We start from the raw sequence: 14,801 nt of genomic DNA, 5'->3' as shown, positions 1-14,801 counted from the left end.
GGGAGCTCTGTCCCAGAGGAACACTGACCCCATGCCAGCCAGAATGCTCCTGTAGGAGGTGTCTGGAGACTCCTGTTGGGACATTTCACCTAGTCAGGAGGAGCAGGATCAGGGACCCACTTAAATAAGCAGTCTGGCTGCCTCTTGGTGGAGCGTGTGTGCTAAACTGGGAGGAATCCTCCTCGTCCAGACTGTCCTGATTCTCCAGAGCCAGGAGGCAGAAAAGACTAAGACTGTTGATCCATGATACCACAACCGCCCCTCCTCCTAGGAGTTCCTCTCAGGGATATCAGTGTTCTGTCCATAAACCCCTGGCTGGGGATGCTGAAATTCCCACAAGGAGGCCCCGCCTGGTGAGTTGGACTGGATTGATGTCCCGCTTAACGAAGCAGTCTGGCCACGAACTGTCCTAGTCACTGTGCTGCGCTGTAGGGAATTGCTCCCTGTCCAAACCGCCCAGTCTCGCTGGGAGGGGTGGCAGAGGAAAACGGCCAACTGGAGCCGCAGTGATGGCAGCTGCCCCTCCTCCTGCAGAACTCCGTCTTCTTAGGCAGTCTCCAGCCTGCTGCACTGGCCGGGAGGGATTCCAAGCCAGTGGGTTTTAGCTTGTGACTTCCGCGGTTTCCATGAGAATAGGGCCTGCTGAGCGAGGCTGCTTGGCTCCCTGGCTTTAGCCCTTTCCCATGGGAGTAGACAGATCTCTTGCCTCACTGGAATTCCCAGAACTGGAGTATGCAAAAACTCCTGTGTCTCAGTGCCTGCTCCAGCAGCCACCCATCTGAGCAGCCACCGTGAGTCTGCACAGCTCTGTGTTTGCGACCCAAGGCCCTGGTGGCATGGGCTCACAAGGGGACCTCCTGACCAGCTAGTTGCAAGGATCCCTGGGAAAAGTGTGGTTTTCAGGGAGGGGTAGCACAATCCCTCACCTCCTCCCTTGGCTGGGGGAAGGAGCTCCCTTTGCCCCGTGCAGCTGCCGGATGGGCCCTCACTCCACCCTGCTTTTCCTCGCTCTCCATGGATCGCACCAACTTGCTAGTTAGTCCCAGTGAGAGAACCTTGGTACAGCAATTGAAGATGTAGAATTCATTCGCCATTTTCGTCCTTCTTGGTGGAAGCCGCAGAGTTGTTTCAATTCTGCCATTTTGGCTGCTCCCCTCTTGATGGAGTCTTCAGAATTTTCTAAGTATAAGATCACATTGTCAGCAAAGAACTGACGTGAGGTATTTGGTTTTCTGTTCCTGAATTAATCACTAGGATAATGGCCTCCACCTGCATCTTTGTTGCTGCAACGGCCATGACTTAATTCTCTCTTTTTTATTGTAATTTGTTCTTTTTTTTTCTGTTTTCGACTTTTATTTTAGGTTCCAAGGTACATGTGCAGGTTTGTTACATAAGTGAATTGGGTATTGCTTAGGTTTTTTTGTACGAATGATCTCGTTACCCCAGTAGCGAGCATAGTACCCAATAGGTATGTTTTCAACCCCTGCTGCCCTCCCAATCTCCCCCCTCTGGTAGTCTTCAGTGTCTCTTGTTCTCATCTTTATATCAGTGTGTACTGTGTTTCACTCCTACTTATAAGTAAAAACCTGCAGAATTTAGTGTTTTGTTCCTGTGTTAATTCACTTAGGATAATAGCCTCCAGCTGCATCCATGTTGCTGAAAAGGACACGATTTCATTTTTCTGGCCGTGTAGTACCCCATGGTGTATACGTACCACATTTTTAAAAATCCAGTCCACGGATGATGGGCATCTAGGTTGATTCCATGTTTATGCTATTGTGAATAGTGCTGCAATGAACATACAAGTGCATGTGACTTTATGATAGAACGATTTATTTTCTCTTGGGTATATAACTCAGTAATGGGGTTACTGAGTTAAATCATAGTTTTAAGTTCTTTGAGAAATCTACAAACTGCTTTCTACAGAGGCTGAACTAATTTACATTTTCACCAGTAGAATGTTTCCTTTTCTCCACAGCCTCGTCAACATCAGTTATTTTTTGTCTTTTTAGTAACAGCTGTTCTGATTGGCATGAGATGGTATCTCACTGTGGTCTTGATTTGCATTTCTCTAATGATTAGTGATGATGGGCATTTTTTCTTGTATTTTTTGACCACATGCATATCTTCTTTTGAGAAGTGTCTGTTCATGTTCTTTGCCATTTTTGTGGGATTGTTTTTTGCTTGTTGAATTGTTTTTTGCTTGTTGAATTAAGTTCCTTATAGATTATGCATATTAGACCTTTGTAAGATGCATAGTTGGCAAATGTTTTCTCCCATTCTGTAGGCTGTCTGCTTAGTCTGCTCTTTGGGGTTAGTTACTACAGAATTATTGTGTTTCTTTGGTGGTATCATGTTTTCTTGCTTTTTCATGTTTCTTGTGTCCCTGCTTTGACATCTGCATGTCTGGTGGATCGTTCACCCCCTCTGAATATTACAGGGTGGCTTTAATAGGAAAGGCATTCACCTGCAGATGGGTCTTAGTGTACCCATTGGGAAGGATATGGTGGCTCTACTTCCCAATAGATGCAGTGGCATAGCCTCTGTGCAGCTTCTTCGGCTGCAGTCAACATCAGTGATGACTATGCATGTCTCAGCCAAAATATCAATTCCTCAAGAGGCAATATATTGCTTCAGTACTGGCCCAGGGGTCATGGCTGCTCTGGGTGACCAAGGCATTAATTCCCTAGGAGGCAGAATGCCATTTCAGAGTAGGCTCAGGAGCATGATTCCTCTGGGCAGCCAAGATACCACTTCCCCAGGAGACAGGCTGCCATTTCAGCTCAGGCACAGAGGGTTGCAAGTGCTTTGGGCAGCCAACACACTATCTCCCTGGGAGGCAGTGTGCTGCTTCAGCTCAAGCCCCTAGGAGCAGGGCACAGCAGCAACTGGGAGGTAAATAATGCCACTCTGCCACAGGTTAGTCCCACAGGGTAGGGTGTAGCAGCACCTCAGCTCAGGGATGGTATTCCACCAAGCAGGGGTGGTTCAGTGGCAATGAAGTCTCAGAGACAGAAGTGTGCCATAGCCTCTCACATGTAGAGCAGGACACACTCCAGCAGTGGTTCCAGGTCCAAGATGCTGCAGTACAGCAGCCCCATCAGCCGTGATGAATGGGGCACAGTGTCAACTCCTCTGGAAGGAGCACAGTCATGTGAACTCCAAGAAGCTCCCTCAGGTGGGCTATGCACCTGTGACAACTGCAGGAGTTTCCAGTGGTGAGGACTATAGATGTCCAATGTGGCAATAGAGGCTGCTGAGGGCCTCTTGCTTATCTTTTTTCTGCAGTGAGAAATCCTCCCTGGTTCTGACCTGATCCCATCTGGTGGCAGAGGCAAGGTGTTTCCTTCCATTCTCTATGAGACCATCCTGGGTTTCTATGCTCTACAGGGTTTCTGCTTCTCCTTTGCTGTACTCTGGTGCCCTCTTTTAGCTGTTCTCATCAAGATGTAGTTTTTCAGTCATGCTTTTGTCCTTGTGTGGGGATGAGCACTAAAGGCTTCTAGTGTAGGTTAGCTTGCTAATATTACTCCATTTAAGTATTTCAACACATAAACATGGGATATCTTTTCATTGCTTTGCGTCTTAAATTTCCTTCATCGATGTTTTATAGTTTTCAGTGTACTGATTTTTCACCCCTTTGGTTAAATTTATTCCTAAGTAGTTTATTCTTTTTGACAGTTTTGGAAATTTTTAAAATAATAACTATTTAAAATAATTATGTAATAAAGTTATTTCTTAATAATTAAAAATAGTTAACTACTTTAAGTGATTATTTAGTAATAATTTTTAAAATAAACTCCCAGGTATATGGTCAACTAATATTTGACAGGGGTGCCAAGATGAAAACAAGATAAGAAAGGACAGTTTCCTCAGTAAATGGTGTTGGAAAAACTGGATCTCCACATTCAAAAGAATGAAACTGAAACCTTATCTTCCACCACTCATGAAAATTAATTTAAAATGTATCAAAGACTTAAATGTAAGGCCTAAAACCATAAAATTCATAGAAAGAAAAACAGGAAAAAAGCCACTTGCCATTTGTCTGGGGAATGATTTTTTTAATAGATATAAGAAGAAAAGCTCCTGTGAACATGGCACTGAGAGTGGCGTGGAGCTTGCAGGCAGTGGTCTGTAGTCTGCATGCACCCTCAGCACCTGCTGGGCCCTGCCTGCAGAGGCTCTGGTGGCTGAGGGTGGGTGCCTTCCAGACACGTTCTGCTTTCACTGCATAAATTCACAGAGAAACGTCAACACATAATAACAGAAAATGGTATTGGAACAGTGGGAATCAGCAATTTGCACAGGAGTCTTTGGGAGCTGTTGTTTACTGTAGTTGGCCTGAAGTTGGGACAAAATTGGGGCAAACAAGATGAGTTTGGTGCTTTGGAAAGTATGAAAGCTACTAATGAACTGTTTTCTCCTTTATCAGAAGTAACTGAAATTAATGAATCCCTTGAAGAAAATCCAGAGTTGTCAACAAATCCATCGGGGAACCAGCTCCCAGTATTTCAACATAGGTTCTTTTCTATTTTCCTTAAGTGTTGGCCAGTCTGAGAAATAAAGAGAAAGAGTACAAAGAGAGAAATTTTACAGCTGGCCTCTGGGTGTAACATCACATATTGGTAGGACTGTGATGACCCCGAGCCGCAAAACCAGCAAGTTTTTATTAGGGATTTTAAAAGGGGAGGGGGTGTACATACAGGGAGTAGGTCACAGAGATCACATGCTTCAAAGGGCAATAAAGATCGCAAGGCAAGGGCAAAATTAGAATTACTGATGAGGGTCTATGCCCCGCTGTGCTGATGAGGGTCTATGTCCCACTGTGCACGTATTGTCTTGATAAACATCTTAACAGGAAACAGGGTTCGAGAGCAGAGAACCAGTCTGACTAGAATTTACCAGGCTGGAATTTCCCATCCTAGTCAGCCTGAGGGTACTTCAGGAGACCAGGGTATATTTCAGTCCTTATCTCAACCGCGTAAGACACTCCCAGGGAGGCTGTTTATAGACCTCCCCCCAGGAATGCATTCCTTCCCCAGGGTATTAATTATTAATATTCCTTGCCGGGAAAAGAATTCAGCAATATCTCTCCTACTCACACGTCTGTTTATAGGCTCCCTGCAAGAAGAAAAATATGGCTCTATTCTGCCGGACCCCGCAGGGAGTCAGACCTTATGGTTATCTTCCCTTGTTCCCTGAAAATTGCTGTTATTCTGTTCTTTTTCAAGGTGCACTGATTTCATATTGTTCAAACACACACGTTTTACAATCAATTTGTACAATAGTGGTCCTGAGGTGACGTACATTCTCAGCTTACGAAGATAACGTGATTAAGAGGTTAAAGTAAAGACAGACATAAGAAATTATAAAAGTATTAATTTGGGGAACTGATAAATGTCCATGAAATCTTCACAATCTATGTTCAGAGATTGCAGTAAAGGCAGGCATAAGAAATTATAAAAGTATTAATTTGGGGAACTGATAAATGTCCATGAAATCTTCACAATTTATGTTCTGCCTTGGCTCCAGCCAGTCCCTCCGTTTGGGGTCCCTAACTTCCCGCAACACAAATCTTGTTATGAAGACGATTGACTGATCACGATGACACTCAGTAACCCTTCAGAACTAGATGAACTACAACTCACATCTGTAATCCCAGCACTTTGGGAGGCCAAGGCAGGCAGATCACCTGAGGGCAGGAGTTTGAGACCAGCCTGGCCAACATGCTGAAACCCTATCTCTACTGAAAATACAAAAATTAGCCGGGTATGGTGGCACATGCCTGTAATCCCAGCTACTCAGGAGTCTGAGGCAGGAGAATCACTTGAACCCGGGAGGCAGAGGTTGCAGCGAGCTGAGATCGTGCCACTGCACTCCAGCCTGGGTGACAGAGCAAGACTCTATCTCAAAAAACAAACAAAAAAATTTTCTAATGATTGCAGATAAATACAATATGCTTCTTTTTCACAGTACCCTATGATTTTTAGACTAGGCTCTAATATTCAGAATTCATGAAATTATCTATGGTAAACCTAGTTATTAATATTATGTAATTCAAGGATAACATTGTTGTCTTAAACCTAATATAATATTGTAACTTGCTTACATCAATATCTGGATTTGGGTCAAAATACTTAATCATCTTTCCATTGGAAGTAATTGGGAGTAGAGAACTTTTTGTTGGTGGATGTACATACAGTGTCAGATGAAGAACAACACTATCTTAATTTCCCAAGATAGTACATTTGCTGGTGCTATTTTTATACAGTGAAGCAACAGCTTTGAAGCAAAATAAGAAATAAAATATTCAACTTCATTTAAAAAAAGAAAACTGGGAAAGAAAAACAGAAATAGACAAATAGGATTGCATCAAAATAAAAAGCTTCTGCACGGCAGTGGAAACAATCAAAAAATGAAAGAGTAGCCTACAGAATGGGAGAAAATATTTGCAAACTATATATCTGACAAGGGGTTAATATCCAAAATATGTAAGACAGGGGTGTCCAATCCTTTAGCTTCTCTGGGCCACATTGGAAGAATTGTCTTGGGCCACACATAAAGTACACTAACATTAACGACAGCTAATGAGCTAAAAAATCTCATAACATTTTAAGGAAGTTTACAAATTTGTGTTGGGCTGCATTCAAAGCCATCCTGGGCCACATGTGGCCTGCAGGCTACAGGTTGGACAAGCTTGATGTAAGAAATTTGTACAACTCAACAGCAACAAAAAAAACAAATAATTCAATTTACAAATGGGCAAAGAAACTGAATAGACATTTTTCCAAAGAAAACATACAAATGGCCAACAGGTACATGAAAATATGTTCAACATGACTAATCATTAGGGAAATTCAAATCAAAACTGCAATGAGATACCACCCACACAGCTGTTAGAAGAGCTATTATTAAAAAGACAAAAACTGACAAGTATTGGTAAGGATATAGATAAAAGGAACCTTTGTGCTCTGTTGGTGGGGATATAAATTAGTACAGCTATTATGGAAAACAGTATGGAAGTTCCTCAAAAGACTAAAAATAAAACTATCTGGCGGGGCGTGGTGGCTCACGCCTGTAATCCCAGCACTTTGGGAGACAGAGGCAGGTGGATCATGAGGTCAAGAGATCGAGACCATCCTGGCCAACATGCTGAAACCCCGTCTCTACTAAAAATACAAAAATTGGCTGGGCATGGTGGCGTTCACCTGTATCCCAGCTACTTGAGAGGCTGAGGCAGGAGAATCGCTTGAACCCAGGAGGCAGAGGTTGCAGTGAGCCAAGATCATGCCATTTTACTCCAGCCTGCCGACAGAATGAGACTCCATCTCTAAATAAATAAATAAATAAATATAAATAAAACTATCATATGATCCAGCAATCCTACTTCTGGGTATATACCAAAAGAAAATGAAATCATTATCTAGAACAGATATCTGCACTTCCATGCTTATTGGATCATTATTCACAATAGTGAAGACACGGAAACAACTTAAGTATTGGCCAATGGATGAAAGGATAAAGAAAATGTACTATGTATATAAAATGGAGTAGTATTCAGCCATAAAAAAAGGAAATCCTGTCATTTGCACAACATGGATGAATCTGGAGGGCATTATACTAAGTGAAATATAATAAGTCATACAGAGAATGACAAATACTGTACAATTCTACTTATATGTAGAATCTTAAAAAGTCAATCCATAGAAACAGAGGGTAAAATGATGGTTGTGAGGGAATGGAGGGCAGTGGAGAAAATCAGGCAATGTTGGTCAAAGGGTACAAATTTTCAGTTCTAAGATGACGAAGTTCTAGAGATCTAATGTGCTGGATGGTGACTATAGTTAATAATGATGCATTGCACACTTGAAATTTTTTGGGGAGTAGATCTTGCTTTGTGTTTGTTGATACCAATGGACAGAATGGAGTAGATCTTAAACGTTCTCACTACACACAAGATTGTTAACTATGTAAGATAATGGGTGTGGGTTAAGTAACTTGATTACGGTAATCATTTTACAATATATATGTATGTCAAATCACCACAGTGTAAACCTTAAATATATACAATTTTATTTGTCAGTGTATATATATATATTATAATATATATATAAAATATAATATATATATATGTCAGTATATATATACAATTATATATCAGTATAGTAGGGATGAAGAGAAAACCAGACAGGAGGAGACACCACATCATATAATTTTATTGGTAAATAATTCTTTAGCAACCAGATAAAAATTAAGAGAGACTCATGTTCTCTCCATGTGTGCACAATGGGGGCCTCCAGTACAGGCTCTGGCACATGAAAAAATGCTCAATAAATGCTCACTTTATGAAAAAGTGAATCAGTCAATGTACAGACCAATTCTCTCATAAGTAGAATAGTTGACAGACCACCTAAATTCTATGGACCTCCCTTACACATGAATAAGAAGAGCTTATTATCTATCCCTACAATGACAGATACCAATCCAACCACCTGTTCATGGAGAATGTTCAGTTCATAAGTGGATCTTCATCATCTCACAAACTGACCTTTGAGGACCAAGACAATTAACATCATTCCAGCCCCATCTTTTGGGTGATTTACGAAAATTTAGCACAACGCAGCGCTCATTGGGATCACTGGGCTCACGTGGATGCCAGAATCTGAAAGCGACAAAAAGGATGAGGGCATTTCTTCAAACAGAGCTTTGAAAAGGGTTAGAGACAGGGGTGAGGAGCGAGGGATGAATTTCATGGAACATAGGGTCAGATATGCCCAAATCCACCTTTCTGCTACTCATCATGCAGCTTCTCCTCCATCTGCATTTCCGGCATTTCCTTTGAAAACTGTGCCTATGTCACTCAATGTTCTCTACCTTACTGCTTTGAATATCCTCACCATAGATTTTCTAGAGGTTCTCTTCTATTTGTCCATCCTTATGTCCTGTTCCTATGGGTCCATCAACCTATAGGGTGTCCTTGTATGATGAAAAGATTTTACCCTGGTCCCACTTATCAATAGAGTTTTTTCCTTTTTTTAATGCACTGTTTTTAAAGTCTAGAGAACTAGTAAAATCTTTTGAATCTTCTACTTATCCTTGTTATTGGACAAGTAATTTAACTTCCCTGATTCTCAGTTTTTCTATCTAAAAAATAAGGACTAGAGTAATATCACTATTTATTTCATACAGTGGATATGAAGATCGAAGGTGGTAATCCAGTAAAGTATGTATTTTATGTAATTTATGTAATATATGTAAAGTATGTAATTTATGCAATTAAAGAATTACATAAATATGAGATATAAGATTATCAGAATTTAGCATTTTTGCTTCATAAGAAGCATTACATCTTCAGCCTGACTGGGTGTGGTGGCACATACTTGTCATCCTAGCAACTCAGAAGACTTGGGTGGGAGGATCAGTTGAGCCCAGGAATTCAAGGCTGCAGTGAGCCATGATTGCACCACTGCACTCCAGCCTGGTTGACAGAGTAAGACCCTGTCTCAAAAAAGAAAAAAAAAGCATTATTAAATCTTAATAATTGGTTATGATCTTAATCAACATGGGTTTTCACTATGTAGAGACAGGTAAATATACGGGTTAAAAGCACAGTAAGATCCACCTGATTTGAGAACAATTGTTGACACCACTGGGTGACCTTAGCTGAATTATCTACACTCTCCAAGCTCAATTTCCTCATATCTACAGTGGGAAAAATAACAATGTGTGCCTCATAGGGTTCTTGCGCAGATTAAATGAGATAATGAAATTATTTAACCTAGTACCCAAGAGCTAAAAGAAGAGTGAGCTATTTTACTTTTATAGCTGATAGCTAGAATACCCTAAGCTCTCTGCATGATCCAGGACCCAAGATTCTTTTATCTCATTCTATACTCACGTGGAACTTTCATTGTATGGTGTCTGATCAACCCATTGCCAATGTCGCTGACCTTCTGGATCTGAGAGCCCCACAAAATAAGCAGATTCTTCTTGCAGATTCTGGAAGATGAAATCCTGAGGGGGGAAAAGAAGGAGTCACAGCCTTTACAGTATTCAGCTTAAACTGAATTCTTAATACCTTAGAGAAACAAGAAGAAAAGGAGAGGATCCAGCAACAGCTGCATTAGAGCTCTACGTAGGAATGGGGATCTCTGGCTGAGCAGGGCAGAATCAAAGACATCGCTTGTAAGCATGATGTTCAGTACATACGGAAGGAATTTTTTTTTTTTTTTTTTTTTGAGATGGAGTCTCACTTTCTGTCCCAGGCTGGAGTGCAGTGGTGCAATCTTGGCTCACTGCACCTCTGCCTCCCAGGCTTAAGCGATTCTCATGCCTCAGCCTCCCCAGTAGCTGGGACTACAGGTGTGTGCCACCATGCCTGGCTAATTTTTGTATTTTTAGTAGAGGCTGGGTTTCACCATTTTGGCCAAGCTGGTCTTGAACTCCCGGCCTCAAGTGATCCGCCCGCCTTGGCCTCCCAAAGTGCTGGGATTACAGGCATGAGCTAGCATGCCCAGCCAGTATGGAAGCAATTTCTATGATCAGAATGAATTCTCATCTCAGGTTTACTTCCCCTCTTTTCTTCACTAAGGGATTACATTCTTCAAAGTTGTACATGAGAAAATTTTGGCAGATTCAGTCATTTTCCTTTCATAACTTCAGGGATTCTTTATTTTCATTCCTGAGTGTTGATTGTGATTCATCATGAGTTAACTTTATTTCTTTTCTCTATTCAACTTAATACCTCTTCTTTGTTAAGTAGTTAATCATGTATAAAACATTTACATATTGAAATAACAAATTGATATTTCAGACTGAAACATTTTCATCCTTCCATTCAACCCTCATATATTTTTAATGTCACAATTTCTTCCGGGGAGGTTAGTTTTACTGAAGCAGGAAGGAGGTATGGAATATAAAGGCTTAGGAGCCCTTTCTACCTATTTTATTGAAAGCCTTCTGCCACAGCGCAAATATCCCAAAGTAACAAAAACCTCCTTCTTAGCCAAGAGAGATATACAAAGATCAGGCAGGGCTCACAGCCCCATTATCTATTAGAAAGTACCTGCTCTTCTTGAGTGTTTATCACCAGCAGGTGAGCCTCCATTCTAGCACAGTCCTTCTCACTGTCTTGCCAAGATGCTGATTCAGTAGAAATAAAGTAGCAGTTGGAACTAAATGACTTCCAATTCTTTGGGCAACAGCTCCAGGCTGTCTCTGTATTGGGAAGAGGGGCACATACGTGCAATATAAATAATCACTCTTAAAAGTGTGTGTATTATTAAAATTAAGAGCCAAGAGAGAGCACATGGAAGCTGGAACTCCCCTCCACACTCAGATGCAACCAGGAGCCCCTGCCCCTCAGGTGTCAAGGAAGCCAAGTCTACCTCAATCAGGCAGTAATGAGGCAGGGCCCCTTTTCTCCTGCTGAAGTGCCATCTGAAAAGCCCAGCTATTACGAAAACATGTTTAAATAAGATCCAGACTCTGAGAATATAATGCAAAAATATCCAGAGTTCAATAGAAAATAAGTCATTATGCTAAGAACCAGTAAGTTTTCAAATTTAATAAAATATAATAATCAATAGATGCCTACAATCAAGACAACAAAAATGGGGCCGGGCACGGTGGCTCACATCTGTAATCCCAGCACTTTGGGAGGCTGAGGCAGAAGAATCGCTTGATCCCAGAAGTTCAAGACCAGCCTGGGCAACACAGCGAGAACCTGTCTCAAAAAAAAAAAAAAAAAAAAAAGATAATAAAATTGTTAGAATTATCTGACAAAGATTTAAAAGCAGCCATGATTAAAAAAAAACAAAAAACAAAAACGCTTCAACAAGAAGATACAGACATGCTTGAAACAAATGAAAAACTAGAAAGTTTCAGCAAAGAACTAGAAGATATAAAGAAAAACCAAGATTTCACCATGCTTGGGGCGCCTTCCTTCCCCATGGCGGGACACCTGGCTTCGGATTTCGCCTTCTCACCCCCTCCAGGCGGTGGAGGTGATGGGCCAGGGGGGCCGGAGCCGGGCTGGGTTGATCCTCGGACCTGGCTAAGCTTCCAAGGCCCTCCTGGAGGGCCAGGAATCGGGCCGGGGTTTGGGCCAGGCTCTGAGGAGTGGGGGATTCCCCCATGTCCCCCGCCGTATGAGTTCTGCGGGGGGATGGCGTACTGTGGGCCTCAGACTGGAGTGGGGCTAGTGCCCCAAGACGGCTTGGAGACCTCTCAGCCTGAGGGCGAAGCAGGAGTCGGGGTGGAGAGCAACTCCGATGGGGCCTCCCCGGAGCCCTGCACCGTCCCCTCTGGTGCCGTGAAGCTGGAGAAGGAGAAGCTGGAGCAAAACCCGGAGGAGTCCCAGGACATCAAAGCTCTGCAGAAAGAACTCGAGCAATTTGCCAAGCTCCTGAAGCAGAAGAGGATCACCCTGGGATATACACAGGCCGATGTGGCTCACCCTGGGGGTTCTATTTGGGAAGGTGTTCAGCCAAACGACCATCTGCCGCTTTGAGGCTCTGCAGCTTAGCTTCAAGAACATGTGTGAGCTGCGGCCCTTGCTGCAGAAGTGGGTGGAGGAAGCTGACAACAATGAAAATCTTCAGGAGATATGCAAAGCAGAAACCCTCGTGCAGGCCCGAAAGAGAAAGCGAACCAGTATCGAGAACCAAGTGAGAGGCAACCTGGAGAATTTGTTCCTGCGGTGCCCGAAACCCACACTGCAGCAGATCAGCCACATCGCCCAGCAGCTTGGGCTGGAGAAGGATGTGGTCCGAGTGTGGTTCTGTAACCGGCGCCAGAAGGGCAAGCGATCAAGCAGTGGCTATGCACAACGAGAGGATTTTGAGGCTGTTGGGTCTCCTTTCTCAGGGGGACCAGTGTCCTTTCCTCTGGCCCCAGGGCCCCATTTTGGTACCCCAGGCTATGGGAGCCCTCACTTCACTGCACTGTACTCCTCGGTCCCTTTCCCTGAGGGGGAAGCCTTTCCCCCTGTCTCCGTCACCACTCTGGGCTCTCCCATGCATTCAAACTGAGGTGCCTGCCCTTCTAGGAATGGGGGACAGGGGGAGGGGAGGAGCTAGGGAAAGAGCACCTGGAGTTTGTGCCAGGGCTTTTGGGATTAAGTTCTTCATTCACTAAGGAAGGAATTGGGAACACAAAGGGTGGGGGCAGGGGAGTTTGGGGCAACTGGTTGGAGGGAAGGTGAAGTTCAATGATGTTCTTGATTTTAATCCCACATCATGTATCACTTTTTTCTTAAATAAAGAAGCCTCAACACAGTAGATAGACAAAAAAAAAAAAAATGGAAATTTTATAATTGAATAATATAATAACCAAAATAAAAAGCTCAGTGGATGGACTCAGCAGAATGAAGGGGATAGAGAGATTAGTGAATTGGAAGACAAAACAACAGAAAATGTCAACTGAGCAACAGAAACAAACTAGACAGAAAAGGCTGGGCACAGTGGCTCACGCCTGTAAACCCAGCACTTTAGGAGGCTGAGGCGGGCGGATCACCTGTGGTCGGGAGTTCTAGACCAGCCTGGCCAACATGGCGAAACCCTGTCTCTACTAAAAATACCAAAAAAAGGCTGGGCGTGGTGGCTCACACCTGTAATCCCTGCACTTTGGGAGGCCGAGGTGGATGGATCACCTGAGATGAGAAGTTTGAGACCAGCCTGACCAACATGGTGAAACCCCATATCTACTAAAAATACAAAAATTAGCAGGGCATGGTGGCGCACACCTGTAATCCCAGCTACTCAGGAGGCTGAGGCAAGAGAATCGCTTGAACCCAGGAGGCAGAGGTTGCAGTGAGCTGAGATCGCACCACTGCACTCCAGCCTGGGCAACAGAGCGAGACTTCGTCTGAAAAACAAAAACAAAAAAAAAACAAAAACAAACAAAAAAACCCACAAAGAAACAAAAAAACTAGACAGAAAAAAAAATAAACAGAGCCTTGTAAAGTGACCCCAAATGTGTATACACCAAACAAAGCTGCAAAATGTATAAAGCAAAACTGATACAATTGAAAGAGGAATTGACAAATATACAATTATAGGTGGATACATCAACACCTCTCTCTCAACCATTGACAGAACTACACAGAAAATCAGCAAGAACATAGAACTTATAAACATCATCAATTACAAGGATCCAATCCACATTTATAGAACGCTCCACCCAACAACAGAATACCCATTCTTTTCCAGTGCCTCTGGAACATATGCTGAAACAAACCATATCTCGGGACATTAAATAACATCGACTAATTTAAAATTGCTGAAATCATATCGTTTTCTCCAACCACAGTGAAAAGAAACCAGAAATTAATAAAAGAAATAACACAGGAAAATCTCCATACGCTTGAAACTAAACAACACACTTTTAAATAATCCACGAGTCAAAGGAGATGTCTAAAGGGAAATTTTTAAAAATACATTGAACTGAATGAAAATGACAATACAAATTATCAAATTTCATAGGACACTATTCTCCAATCAAAGGAACTAGGGCTCCTCAAAGAAATATCTGATTCCAGGATAGGGACATGAAATGTACAATGTGAGTCTCAAGCATTTTGCAGTCCCAGAAAGTGAGGAAGTGCTAAACCAAAACAAAAGAAAAAACACGTGGTGATATGTTAAAGGGTCACAGGAGTCAAATGAAAAAGTTCCCAATGTCCAAAGCTGGAACTACAAAATAGAGCAGTATTGGATTATAAACCAAAATTTAAAATAAATATCCATGAGTTGGACACACAGTGGGGAACAACACACACTGGGGCCTGTGGTGGAGGGAGC

At 42.5% G+C, this 14,801-nt stretch overlaps 1 protein-coding gene and 2 pseudogenes across 7 annotated transcripts in view, besides 3 other annotated features; 2 read left to right on the top strand and 1 right to left on the bottom strand.

The window, feature by feature from the left end:
• Positions 2,410 to 2,909: an enhancer, noted in NCBI's record as "H3K27ac hESC enhancer chr12:8296489-8296988 (GRCh37/hg19 assembly coordinates)". NCBI's record gives its function as "activates a minimal SCP1, AML or CMV promoter by ChIP-STARR-seq in primed H9 embryonic stem cells {active_cell/tissue: H9 hESC(primed)}" and the evidence as "EXISTENCE:reporter gene assay evidence [ECO:0000049][PMID:30033119]".
• On the top strand, positions 4,084 to 6,334 carry GCSHP4 (GCSH pseudogene 4; annotated as a pseudogene).
• Positions 4,528 to 5,029: an enhancer, noted in NCBI's record as "OCT4-NANOG hESC enhancer chr12:8294369-8294870 (GRCh37/hg19 assembly coordinates)". NCBI's record gives its function as "activates a minimal SCP1, AML or CMV promoter by ChIP-STARR-seq in primed H9 embryonic stem cells {active_cell/tissue: H9 hESC(primed)}" and the evidence as "EXISTENCE:reporter gene assay evidence [ECO:0000049][PMID:30033119]".
• The window catches only part of CLEC4A (C-type lectin domain family 4 member A), a 35,701-nt gene continuing 29,094 nt past the window's right edge, over positions 8,195 to 14,801 (bottom strand). For all 6 annotated transcript variants that reach the window (XM_017019382.3, NM_016184.4, NM_194450.3 and 3 more), the window contains 3 exons: positions 11,066 to 11,217; positions 9,899 to 10,014; positions 8,195 to 8,662 (listed from right to left, as the gene is read on the bottom strand). In XM_017019382.3, coding sequence (XP_016874871.1) covers positions 8,515 to 8,662; positions 9,899 to 10,014; positions 11,066 to 11,217 — 416 coding nt within the window. In that variant the 3' untranslated portion in view covers positions 8,195 to 8,514. The remainder of the gene's footprint in view (positions 8,663 to 9,898; positions 10,015 to 11,065; positions 11,218 to 14,801) is intronic.
• POU5F1P3 (POU class 5 homeobox 1 pseudogene 3) lies at positions 11,950 to 13,033 on the top strand (annotated as a pseudogene). Its single transcript, NR_036440.1, has one exon. The product of NR_036440.1 is annotated as a POU class 5 homeobox 1 pseudogene 3 (transcript).
• Positions 12,339 to 13,117: an enhancer, noted in NCBI's record as "H3K4me1 hESC enhancer chr12:8286281-8287059 (GRCh37/hg19 assembly coordinates)". NCBI's record gives its function as "activates a minimal SCP1, AML or CMV promoter by ChIP-STARR-seq in primed H9 embryonic stem cells {active_cell/tissue: H9 hESC(primed)}" and the evidence as "EXISTENCE:reporter gene assay evidence [ECO:0000049][PMID:30033119]".

This window comes from Homo sapiens, chromosome 12, assembly GCF_000001405.40.
Source record: "Homo sapiens chromosome 12, GRCh38.p14 Primary Assembly".
Classification (NCBI taxonomy): domain Eukaryota; kingdom Metazoa; phylum Chordata; class Mammalia; order Primates; family Hominidae; genus Homo; species Homo sapiens.
Note: the sequence above shows the minus strand (reverse complement) of the source record. Positions and strands in the feature narration are given on the sequence as shown.